Here is a 13,550-nt window from a genome sequence, read left to right on the forward strand (position 1 = left end):
GTACGCTGCCCCTATCGGAGACCTCCACCTTAACCCTTTCCAGCCTGTAGGCTCCTCCCAGGGCCCCACAACAGAAGTGACTTCCCTTGCCTTTGAATTTCTATAGCACAAGCCCTACTGCCCCCCGTTAAAACTGCAAAGTCCTTTTGTGGAAAATAACTTTATTCATGACTGTGTTTATCACACTATCTTATGGAGAAGAGATGATCAATAAATATTTGCTGAATAAATGAATAGCAGTTACAAAACACTAGATTCATATGGAATTAATGTTGGTTCTCAAAGTGAAAAATTACAAACAGCACTGATATTCAGCCAGTATACAAGTCTGGTCACAGCAGTTGTATAATACTGAAATACCCCCTGCCACTGACCTTTGGCCCCCAGATGCCTCCCACTGCCACTGCTCTCCCCACTGGGAACCCCTGAAGTTCCCACAGGCTCATAACTAAAGGGCTAATGTCTCGCACAGCAGCGAGCACCCAGGACCGAGCAGCCACATGGCCGGGTCTGCTGGTGAAAGCATCCATTCTGACTGATCAGGACCTGAGGGGCCTCATGGTTACATATTTTGATAATATCCCTAATTATAAATAAGGCTCAGTTATATAGTTTGAAAACAATGCTTCTCCTCATTGCAAAATCTCTTAGAAGACTCCGTAGATCCAGGAACGGAAATGGAAAATGACAGCGTGTCAATCTCTGAAGGTTTTGGGCATTTCCATTAGCACTCCATCTTCATGTAAACCAGAAGATATGCAGTTTCCTGCCTAGAGAGAAGAGAAGACACATCAGCACAGCGGCATGAAACCTTCATCAGAAAACAATGCTTCATTAATCCGTGACAGGACAAGCGTCAGCAAACTTCCAGGCGGCTGGATTAGGCCTTCATCTATCCATCACCTTGGAGAGGAACAAAATAGGTGGCCTGGGAAGTTAAGCACTATGTTTCTATTAGTTAATATCTAAAGCGGAGGTTAACAAGCTATGGACACACAAGCCAAACCCAGCCCTCTTGGGGTTTTTTAAATCTACTTTCAACTTTTATTTTAGATTCAGCGGGCACATGTGCAGGTTTGTCACGTGGATATGAGCATACTCCCCAACAGTTGGCCTTTCACCCCTCCCCTCCCTCCCCATCCAGCAGTTCCCAGTTGTTGCCATCTTTAAGTCAATGAGTCCCCATGTTTAGCTCCCATTTATAAGAGAGAACATGCATTATGTTTTGTTTGGTTTTTGCTGGTTTTTTTTTTTTTTTTTAATGGAGTCTTGCCCTGTAGCCCAGGCTAGAGTGCAGTGGCACAATCTTGGCTCACTGCAACCTCCGCCTCCCAGGTTCAAACGATTCTCCCTCCTCAGCCTCCCGAGTGGCTGGGACTACAGGCGCCCGCCACCACGCCCGGCTAACTTTTTGTATTTTTAGTAGAGACAGGGTTTCACCGTGTTAGCCAGGATGGTCTCAATCTCCTGACCTCATGATCTGCCCACCTCAGTCTCCCAAAGTGCAGGGATTACAGGCGTGAGCCACCGTGCCCAGCCTTTTGTTTATTTTTTGACGAGACCGTTCTTGCTCTGTCACCAGGCTGGAGTGCACTGGCACAATAATAGCTCACCACAGCCTCGTGCTCCTGGGCTCAACTGACCCTCCTGCCTCAGTTTTAGCTTCCTGAGTAGCTAGGACTACGGGTGTGTACCACCATGCCTAGCTATAATAATTTTTATTTTTTTGTAGAGATGGAGTCTTGCTTTGTTGCCCAGGCTGGTCTTGAACTCCTGGCTTGAAGTGATCCTCCTGCCTCGGCCTCCCAAATTGCCGGGATTAAAGGTGGGAGATCGCACCCAGTCTCCAACCCTCTTTTTGCAAGTAAATGTAACTGGACCCCAGCCATGCTCATCTGCCCATGTACTGTCTGCGGCTGCTTTTGCTCTACAGGGCAGAGTTAAGTGGTTGCAACAGACACCGCACAGACCACAAAGTCTGAAGTACTTTCTCTCCAGCCCTTTACAGAGAAAGTCTGCCAACCTCTAATCTCAATAACAGGGAAATCAATGACAACCACAAAGTGACAAAGATTGGGTGTCTAAGATGGATGCTCAGAATAAACAAGAGAGAAAGATGAAAAGTAGAAGGAGGATTTCAAACGCAAGCTTCACCTAATCCGTTATTTTTCAAATGACCAGGCCTATCTCTGTAGCTGAAAATCACCTCAAATAAGATCTCTGATATACAGTCTCCAAAAGCTCAGCTAAGAAACTTACAAAGTCTCTCTGCCTTAACTTCATCCACCTTTTTTCTCTCCAGCTTTTCCTCGGTAGTTAATGATTATAAAAATATTTATTGGCTCATGCCTGTAATCCCAGCACTTTGAGAGGCCGAGGCGGGCAGATCACGAGGTCAGGAGATTGAGACCATCCTGGCTAACACGGTGAAATCCCGTCTCTACTAAAAATACAAAAAATTAGCCAGGCGTGGTGGCGGGCGCCTGTAATCCCAGCTACTCAGGAGGCTGAGGCAGGAGAATGGCATGTACCCACAAGGCGGAGCTTACAATGAGGTGAGATCCCACTACTGCACTCCAGCCTGGGCGACAGAGCAAGACTCCATCTCAAAACAAACAAACAAACAAACAAAAAAACAGTGTGATGGCCAGGCGCAGTGCTCATGCCTATAATCCAAGCACTTTGGGAGGCTGAAATGGATGGATGGCTTGAGCCCAGTAGTTTGAGACAAGCCTGGCAACATAGCGAGACCTCATCTCTACAAACATCTTTAAAATATGCCAGGCATGGTGGTGCATGCCTGTAGTCCCAGCTATTCAGGAGGCTGAGGTGGGAGGATCACCTGTGCCCGGGAGTTCAAGGCTGCAGTGAGCTATGATCACACCACAGTGCTCCAGCCTGGGCAACAAAGCAAGACTCCATCTCTAAAAATAAAATAAAATTAAAAAAAAAGATCTTCGCTGTAAAAGAGGTACGCTCAAATGCAATAAAAGCATATAAGAAGGCCGGGTGTGGTGGCTCATGCCTGTAATCCCAGCACTTTGGGAGGCCGAGACGGGCGGATCACGAGGTCAGGAGATTGAGACTATCCTGGCTAACGCGGTGAAACCCCATCTCCTCTAAAAGTACAAAAAAATTAGCTGGGCTAGGTGGCAGGCGCCTGTAGTCCCAGCTACTCAGGAGGCTGAGGCAGGAGAATGGCATAAACCCGGGAGGCAGAGCTTGCAATGAGCCTAGATCGCACCACTGCACTCCAGCCTGGGTGACAGAGTGAGACTCCGTCTCAAAAAAAAAAAAAAAAAGAAAAAGAAAAGAAAAGTTCTTCTGACATTTGTGTATGAAATCAGCCTTCACTACATGGATAGGACCAGCACGCTTCTGCGGCACGACTCTGCAATCTTACTACATTTTTTTTTACTTTGTATTTTATTTATTCCTTTTGAGACAGAGTCTCACTCTGTCACCCAGGCTGAAGTGCAGCCGAGATCTCGGCTCACTGCAACCTCCACCTCTTGGGTTCAAGCAATTCTCTTGTCTCAGCCTCCCAAGTAGCTGGGACTACAGGCACACGTCAAAACGCCCGGCTAATTTTTGTATTTTTAGTAGAGATGGAGTTTTGCCCTATTGGTCAGGCTGGTCTCAAACTCCTGACCTCAGGTGATCGACCTGTCTTAGCCTCCCAAAGTGCTAGGATTACAGGTGTACATTTATTTATTTATTTGAGATGGAATCTTGCTCTGTATTTATTAATTTATTTATTTGAGATGGAGTCTTGCTCCATCGCCCAGGCTAGAGTGCAGCAGTGCAATCTCGGCTCATTGCAACCTCTGCCTTCCAGGTTCAAGCGATTCTCCTGCCTCAGTGTCCCAAGTAGCTGGGATTACAGGTGCCTGCCACCACAGCTGGCTAATTTTTGTATTTTTAGTAGAGACAGTGTTTCACCATCTTGGCCAGGCTGGTCTCGGGCTCCTGACCTCATGAACCACCTGCCTCAGCCTCCCAAAGTGTTGGGATTACAGGCCTAAGGCACCATGCTCGGCCATATTTATTTATTTAATTATTTAGAGACAAAGTCTTGCTCTGTCACCCAGGCTGGAGTGCAGTGGCGCCATCTCAGCTCACTGCAGCCTCCGCCTCCAAGGTTTAAGCAATTCTCATGCCTCAGACTCCTGAGTAACTGGGACTACAGAAACTTGCCACCACGCAGGGATTTTTTTTTCTATTTTTTTGTAGAGACACAGTTTCACCATGTTGGCCAGGCTGGTCTCGAACTCCTGACTTTAGGTGATCTGACAGCCTCGTCCTCTCAAAGCACTGGGATTACAGGCATGAGCCCCTTGCCCGGCCTCTCACTACATTTAAGTGACGCCATGGCTCATGCCTGTAATCCTAGCACTTTGGGAGGCCAAGGCAGGTGGATCACCTGAGGTCAGGAGTTCGACATGAGCCTGGCCAACATGGGGAAACCCCGTCTCTAGTAAAAATACAAAAATTAGTCAGGTGTGGTGGTACAAGCCTGTAGGCCCAGCTACTTGGAAGACTGAGGCAGGAGAATCACTTTAAGCGGGAGGCAGAGGTTGCAGTGAGCCAATATCATGCCACTGCACTCCAGCTTGGGTGACAGAGTGAGATACTGTCTCAAAAAAAAAGAAAAAAAGAGAGAAAAACATATGATGCCGGGGCATCTCGGCCTCAATACCTGGGTGAGCACAGTCATGTCCAGGCCAGGGCTGCTGGTCGAGGTCCGGCCCCATCTCTTCCAGCAGAAAGGGAGTAAGCTTGCAGGGCGGCTGGGGGACAAGATCCCAGGATCTCAGCCTCTGCTCATGGATCAGCTCTGAGACCCCGAGTGAGCTGGGGGTGCTCTGTGCGCATTGGTTTCCCCAGCTGTCAAGTAAAGGGATTGGATGAGGAAGTCTTGTCAAGGTGGAATGATCTCAGATTTGGGGCAGCAGTGAATGATCCCGCTCCCTGGGCCATGCCAGTGGCCCGGCCTCGGCTGAACACAGCCCCAACACTCTGGAATGGGGATGAGGGGGCAGTCAGCTCTTGCTCCTAGTAAGAGAGATGCAACAGGGCTCTGTGGCTGAGCTGGGTGCCTTGCCTCACACCTGTAATCCCAACCTTTGAGAGGCCGAGGCAGGAGGATTGCTCGAGACCGGGAATTTTGAGAATAGCCTGGACAACATAGCCAGACCCCATGTCTACAAAATAATAATAAAACACACAGCTATAGTCCAAGCTACTTGGCAGGCTGAGGCAGGAGGGTCCCTTGAGTCCAGGAATTGGAGGCTGCATTGAGCTATAATCGCACCACTGCACTCCAGCTTGGGTGACAAAGTGAGACCCTGTCTCTAAAAGAAAAAAAAATTGGCCTGTGAGCATGGGCTTGATTTTCAAACAGGACCCGGAGGGTAGGGTAAACGTGTGGGTAAATCTAAATGAATGTTATTGGTATAAAATTACAGTAGTATAGAAAATGATATCTTGTGGGGTTTAAAAGAAATAAAACATACTGAAATATGTATGGGTACAGTTATATATCTGGGATTTGCACTGAAATAATGTGGGGTAGAGGGAAGCAGGAAAGAGTATACATGAAATGAGCTTGGCCATAAGATTGTTGTTGAAATTGAATGGATACTCGGGGCTTCATTACACAATTCTCTTTACTCTTACATAGCTCTACACTCTCAACATAAATAAGAATAAAAACACAAAAAACACACAGATACATCTATGCACACACACATATTTAAAATACACAAAAATATTAGCATATAAGTCACTGGGGGTAAATTTAGTTCCTGTTCCAAGGTTCTTGTACTGACTAGGAAGAGGATAGAAGTACTAACTCATAGGCTGGGTGCGGTGGCTCACGCCTGTAATCCCAACACTTTAGGATGCCGAGGTAGGCAGATCTCTTAAGGTCCGGAGTTCAAGACCAGCCTGGCCAACATGGTGAAACCCTGTCTCTACTGAAAAAGAATACAAAAATTGGCCGGGCATAGTGGTGCACACCTGTGGTCCCAGCTACTCAGGTGACTGAGGCAGGAGAATTGCTTGAACCCAAGAAGTGGAGGTTGCAGTGAACCAAGATTGCTCCACTGCACTCCAGCCTGGGCAGCAGAGGAAGACTCTCTCTATCTCAACCACAACAAAAAGTACTAGCTCATGTTAGACTTTGATAAGTGAAGGATGCATGTTGTAAGCTCTAAAATAATCCAGTCATCTTTTAAAATAACTCTAAGACTGCACAGTTATGAAACTAATAGAGAAGGAGGAAATTAAATAATAAAAATAATAAATCCAAAACAAGATGTGAGAGGAGATAAGAAGAAATAGAATAGGCATGGAAAACAAATTGGTGGTGGGTTTCAACCCAAATAAATCATTAGTTACATTTAAAAGGACAATAAAAATTAAAATAATTGAAAATAAAGTAAAACCCAACTAATGCCTTTTATATAAGGATACAGAGAGGTGGAAGATCATGAAAAATATGTCATGCATGTACTAACCAAGAAAGCTGTATAACTTTTTTTTTTTTTTTTTTTTTTTTTTTTGGGAGATAGAGCCTCACTCTGTCTCCCAGGCTGGAGTGCAGTGATGTGATCTTGGCTTACAGCAATCTCTCCCTTCTAGGCTCAAGCGATTCTCCCACCTCAGCATCCCAAGTAGCTGGGACTACAAGTGTGCCAACTTAGAATTATATTAGCCACACCCAGCTAATTTTTGTATTTTTTGTAGAGGCAGGGTCTCGCCATGTTGCCCAGGTTGGTCTTGAACTCCTGGGCTTCAGTGATCCACCCACCTCGACCTCCAGCAAAGTGCCAAGATTACAGCCATGAGCCACCATGCCCAGCATAACTATTTTTAATGAAGTAGACTTTAAGAAGAAAAGTATTATTAGAGGTAAGAGACACATCACAGAAAAGAAGAATTTACTAGGAGCCAGGCGCAATGGCTCGTGCCTGTAATTCCAGCACTTTGTGAGGCCAAGGCGGCGGATCACCTGAGGTTGGGAGTTCAAGACCAGCCTGACCAACATGGAGAAGCCCTGTCTCTACTAAAAATACAAAAATTAGCCAAGCATGGTGGCACATGCCTGTAATCCCAGCTACTCAGGAGGCTGAGGGAGGAGAATTGCTTGGACCCAGGAAGTGGAGGTTGCGGTGAGCTGAGACTGTGCCATTGCATTCCAGCCTGGGCAACAAGAGCAAAACTCTGTCTCAAAAAAAAAAAAAAAAAAAAAAGAAGTTACTAGCTAGTTTCGGTAATTCTTAACAACCAGGAAACTGGAATGTGAAAGTTTTTCAGAGAAACTAAACCAATAGATTATACATAGAGAGAGATTTATTTAGGAATTGGCTCACATGATTGTGGGGACTAGCAAGTTTTAAAATCTGTAGGGCAAGCCAGCAGGCTATAAATTCAGGTAAGAGTTGATCTCGAAGTCTGGAACCTAAAATCTGTAGAGCAGTCAGCAGGCCAGAAACTCAGGCAGGGTTTGTGTGTTACAGTCTTGAAGCAGAATTCCTGCTTCTCTGGGAAACCTCAGTTTTTGTTCTTAAGGCCTTCAACTGATTGGAGGTGGCCCACCCATATTATGGTGGGTAATCTGTTTTACTTAAAGTCAATTGACTGTCAGTGTTAATCACATCTATGAAATAACCTCCCAGCAAGATATTGACAAGTATTCGACCAAACAACAGGACACCATAGCTTAGCCAAGTTGACACATAAATTAACCATCAGGAGCAAGTAGAATATCCAAAAAACAACATACTAGGGGTATTATATCTTATATAGCTATTATAATTATATAAAACATATAATTATAGAATGACGATATTAAGATAACCATTAGAACAAAAATATAAACTTTTCTTTCCTTTTTTTTTTTTTTGAGACCAAGTCTTGCTCTGTCACCCAGGCTGGAGTGCAGTGGTGCAATCTTGGCTTACTGCAACCTTTGCCTCCTGCGTTCAAGTGATTCTCCTGTCTCAGCCTCCCAAGTATCTGGGATTACAGGCACCTGCTACCATGCCCAGCTAATTTTTGTATTTTTAGTAGAGACATGGTTTCACCATGTTGCCCAGGCTGGTCTCCAACTCCTGACCTCAAGTGAGCCACCCCCCTCGGCCTCCCAAAGTGCTGGGATTACAGGTGTGAGCCACCACACCCAGCCAAAAATCACCTTTTTTACAAGGATCAAAACAGTCATTATGCTGGAGATGACAGACCTCACTGTCACCATGCTCCTTTTGTATGTCTACTAGGCACGGTGCTGGGTCCACACTCACAGAAACCTTAGGAACTCGCACCCAGGGGCTCCGGCTGTAGCAGAATCCCAAGAATAAAACCTGGTGCTGAAAGAGTAGGAGATGAGGCCGGGTGCCATGACTCACTCCTGTAATGCCAGCACTTTGGGTGGCCAAGGCGGGTGAATCAAGAGATAGAGACCATCCTGGCCAACACGGTGAAACCCCGTCTCTACTAAAAATACAGAAATTAGCGGGGCGTGGTGGCTGGCACCTGTAGTCCCAGCTACTCAGGAGGCTGAGGCAGGAGAATCATTTGAACCGAGGAAGCAGAGGTTGCAGTAAGCTGAGATCGCGCCACTGCACTCCAGCCTGGTGACAGAGTGAGACACCGTCACAAAAAAAAAAAAAAAAAAAAAAAAAAGCAGGACACTGAACTCTGGGAGGGCCTCCTGGTGAGAGGTGAGCACAGAGGGGAGAGATGGAGGCAGGAGCATGGGCTTCTGGTGGCCCCAGCAGACCCTGTGGCAGCGTGGCCAGGGTCCTCTGCAGGGAGGAATCTTGGCCAGGATGACGCTGTAGCAGGCCTCTTCCTGAGGCCTCCAGCCAGCCCGGCCAGGGTCCCAGCGTCCAGTGACCCCTGTTTCACAGCAGCAGCTGGGGCCAGCCCCAGGCTCTCTTCCACTCCCAGCTTCTTAAAACTGGAAGTGGAGAGAGTTGTTTGATAAAACACTGGGGCAAACCACATCCTCTCTTCACCAAGGGAGAGTTCGAGGGGATGCCGGCAGAGGGAGCTTTAGAGTAGAGACCCCTACCCAACCAGTGACCGTCACGCACACAGCAGGGCATGCTATGGAGACCCCCAGACAGTCACTCGGGGAGACCCAGCAGGTCCAGACTCTTCAGAGATCTGTGGCAGCAGGTCCCCACTCCCAAAAGCCACGTGCCCACGGGTGGTCTCTGGTGCCTGAGACCCCAGTCTCATTTGCATCTTTGCAACTTCGAGTTTAAGTGGGTGTCGCATCTCTGTATGTCCTCCCGAGCAGAGGAGGGGCACAGCCTGGGGTGGCAGCTGACGTCAAACCCTCAAATCCCCTGAGAGCCACTGGGGAGACTAAGCAGTCCCCAGCCCCCACTTGTCCCTGAGCTGCCATTCTCAGCCCTGTGGGAGGAGACAGAAAGCCCTGAAGAGAAACCAAAGGACCAGGTCAGGAGGGGCTGGGGGGGTGGCATGAGCAATCAGGGCAGGGAAGGATGGACAGATGGGGGAATGGAGGGAAGAAGGAATGAATGAAAAGGTGAATGAATGAACAAAGAGAGAGAACGGCCACTCCTCCCTTGCTTTAGTTTACAAAGTACTGGGATCCTCCCAACAGCCTGCAAGACAGAATTTCTGGGAAGCAGACCAGGTGGCTGGCAGGGAGGGGAGGCTTGCCCTGGCTTTTGTGGGCCCAATGGGAGGCAGGGGGCAAGAAGGGGCATCCTGTGTGTGTCCTCCCTGCAGCGGCAGCAGCACCTTCCTGGAAGAGGGTCAGGAAACACCCGCTGTGGCCCCTCTCCACCACGCCCTCATCCAGGACACCAAGTATCAGTCACTCAGCTCACGAGACCCAGGCCCTGACTCAGGGAGAGAGGATGTGAGGGGTGGGGCACCGGGCTCCTCAGGACTGAGAGACCTGAGATGTGGCCCCGGGCTGGGTGTAGGGGCAGACTGGCTATGGCAGCATTGTGTGTACCCCAGCAGGCCAGTACCCACGCAGGGAGCCTCCAAACCCCTTCACCCATGACCCTGGGAGAAGACCGCAGCCTTGGAGAATTGGCCTCACTGAAGGGGCCTGCACCGGCCAGCAGGGTCAGGCGGGGCCAGACAGGTTCCCACCTGGGATATGCAAATGGGCCTCCTGAATCCTGGAGCCAGGTATGGACTCACACACCACCATTGTCCCCAAGTCCCCATCTGCCCCACGGGCACACCCTGCCGCCTGTTCTGTGCAAGGGCCCTGAGGCTGTCTCCTTGCGCTCAAGCCCTGCAGGTGCTGAAGCCCACACACACGGCTCCTGCTTACTGGGCCAGTGCACGTGCACACACACACACGTGCACACACACACACACCCACAAATATACCCACACACAATCACACACATTCACACATACCCACCCCCCATACTCACACTCACACATTTACACACACCCACACACCCACACTCACACACTCACAGTCACACACACCCTCACACAGCGAAACACAATCACACACATTCACACCCACCCACACCCCCACACACTCACACTCACATATACTCACACACACCCACACACACATACACAAACACAATCACACACATTCACACACACCCACACTCACACATACACACACCCAAACACGATCACACACATTCACACACACCCACACCCCACAAACACACTCACACATATACCCACACACACTCACACATAATCTCTCACACACACACATGCTCACACACACACGCCTTCTCCAGGAGGGGCTGGCTGCCAAAGGCCACCCAGCTTCCTCCCACGTCTCACTCACCGTACAATATTTGAGAAGACCTTGGAGTCAGCAGCAACAGCGGTGTGGGCAAAGGCCGGGGGTCAAATGGGGCCTGGTGTCGAGAGAGGACCACAGCCAGCACAATGACAGCCAGCGCCAGCCCCAGCCCCAGCCCCAGCAGGACCAGGTCACCCATGGCTCCGTAGTCCTGGGCCATGGCTCTGCGGCCCAGAAGGAGAGGGGAGGCCGGTGGGCAGATGGAGGGACAGATGGGTGGGCAGATGAATGGACAAGAAGATGCATAGATAGACTCACAGGTAATTGGACAGATGGACAAACAGGTGGGGGCTGAAGACAGACACGAAGATGGATCGACAGACAGGCCAGATAGCTAGACAAAGAGGACAGTAAGAGAAAGATGGTCAGATAGACAATGGGACAGAGATGGGCTTACAGATGGGCGGACAGACAGACAGGTCTGAACAGCGGGCTGCCAGATGGACAGATGGGTGAATGGACAGATGGCTGGCAGCTGTGGCGAGCTGCTGCCCTCACCAAGTGCACACTACGGAGTGGCCAAACTCATGCCTCAACTTCTAGTTTTCAGCTCCTGCTTGTTCCTGGCAGGAGGCCAGGCAGCAAAGCGTCTGAGGGGAGTTTTCTTTGCCTAGAGAAGTCAGCTGCTGTGTTAACTCCCTCACTGCTGGTAGGTCCAAAGGCCCGACCTACCGCCCACCAGAGCCCATGGTCACACTGTCGCAATGTGCAGGAGAACTTGGTGCGTGCTGCACTGCGGTTGCCAGGTAGGGGCAGGGCTCCCTGGAACCTCCACACCATTCCCCAGGTTCTCAGCAGCTCTGGGAAAGCAGAGCTGGGGCCGCTTAACTCTGCCCTGGATCCGGCAAGGCTGCCCCCCTCCCAGAGTGGAGCCCTGCTCCCCAGCTCCCATCTCTATCCCCTAACCCTCTCCGCATGGCCCAGCCTAGTCAGCATCAAGGTGGAGCTGAACAGAGGCAGAAGGAGGAGGACCCAAGGTGGTGTCACTCAGGACCCGGGTTCAAGTCCTTATGCTTCTGCAGCCTGGCCTGGGTCCCCCAACTCCCCCAGGGTGACCAAGGGCTTCCCAGTCTGCACAGAGGACAGGGGGTCTTGACAGCATCAAATGCTAGTGACTACGAGACACTTACGTGGGAAATGCAGACAGACCATGCCTCTAGCCCTTGGCACCAGGCACCATCCATCCCTGGGACTTGCTGTCCTGGAAATGCAGCATGGTCCTCCAGGGAGGGGGGCTGTGCCATGTGGGGGCCCCACCCCACCTGCAGCTCTTTCCCACCCTGGCTGCAGGTCTGCTTCCCTGAATCCAAATCCGCTACTACTGTGCTGGCAGCGCAGCCTCTCTGGGGACACTGGCCTGGCTCTGTTCTCCCCAGGCCTCAGGGTGCCTAAATGGGAGGCAACCAGGGGAGTGAGGACCCACTGAGGGGCTCCGTTGACCAGGCTCAGCAGGGGTGCAGGTGATGTGGGGTGGAATCCTTCCCACATGGCCCCCACAGTCCTCCCCGCTTCCTCCCCAACTGAACACTGCCTGCTCCAGATGTCTACACCTGGAGTCTGGGCCCCTCCATCTGGGCAGCAGAGAAACTGAGGCACAGAGACAGACTGTGTCCTTACAGGGCACACAGCCTGCCAGGCCCCTATGTCCGGCCAGAGCCCCTGGCCAGCCTGGGCTGCAGTGATTGTTTAGAGGTAGGCTGTTCCCACGGCTGCCTCTCACGGTAGGGGGGCCTGCGGACGCCTCCTCCCGCCCCCACCCGACTCCCAAGCCTCAGTGACATTGCTCAACCAGGAGCTGAAGTGCATTCCTGGGCTCAGGCCAGCCCACCCACCGACCCGCTGCAGTCCTGGAAGCCCAGAGGCCTGGGCAGCAGGAACAGTGGAGACAGCAGTGTGGGGGACGTCCCCCTCCTCTCCCCACCATCCTCGTCAGGCAGAGGCCAGGGTGCAGGGACCGCCCGAGCAAAGGCCCAGGGAAATGAATGGGTGTCATTCTGGTCCTGACCCGAGGCACAGCCAGGAAGGTCCCTGTGGGGAAAAGAAAGAGATATCAGACTGTTACTGTGTCTATGTAGAAAGAAGTAGACGTAAGAGGCTCCATTTTGTTGTGTAGTAAGAAAAATTCTTTTGCCTTGAGATGCCGTTAATCTGTAACCCTAGCCCCAACCCTGTGCTCACAGAAACATGTACTGTGTCGACTCAAGGTTTAATGGATTCAGGGCTGTGCAGGATGTGCTTTGTTAAACAAATGCTTGAAGGCAGCATGCTTGTTAAGAGTCATCACCACTCCCTAATCTCAAGTAAGCAGGGACACAAAACACTGCAGAAGGCCGCAGGGACCTCTGCCTAGGAAAGCCAGGTATTGTCCAAGGTTTCTCCCCAGGTGACAGTCTGAAATATGGCCTCGTGGGAAGGGAAAGACCTGACCGTCCCCCAGCCCGACACCTGTAAAGGGTCTGTGCTGAGGAGGATTAGTAAAAGAGGAAGGCCTCTTTGCAGTTGAGATAAGAGGAAGGCATCTCTCTCCTGATCGTCCCTGGGCAAAGGAATGTCTCAGTGTTGATTGTATATTCCATCTGCTGAGATAGGAGAAAACTGCCTTAGGGCTGGAGGTGGGACATGCTGGTGGCAATACTGCTCTTTAATGCATTGAGATGTTTATGTATATGCACATCAAAGCACAGCACCTTTTTCTTAACCTTGTTTATGACACAGA

At 50.2% G+C, this 13,550-nt stretch overlaps 1 long non-coding RNA gene across 1 annotated transcript; it reads right to left on the reverse strand.

Moving 5' to 3' along the window:
* Positions 1-144: 144 nt before the first annotated feature.
* On the reverse strand, positions 145-11,457 carry FAM247C (family with sequence similarity 247 member C). The gene is made up of 2 exons (XR_937989.2): positions 10,817-11,457; positions 145-770 (listed from the first exon to the last, which is right to left on the reverse strand). It is a non-coding gene; the product is annotated as a family with sequence similarity 247 member C (long non-coding RNA).
* Positions 11,458-13,550: the final 2,093 nt, after the last annotated feature.

The sequence above is a fragment of the Homo sapiens genome, chromosome 22 (genome assembly GCF_000001405.40).
Source record: "Homo sapiens chromosome 22, GRCh38.p14 Primary Assembly".
NCBI lineage: Eukaryota > Metazoa > Chordata > Mammalia > Primates > Hominidae > Homo > Homo sapiens.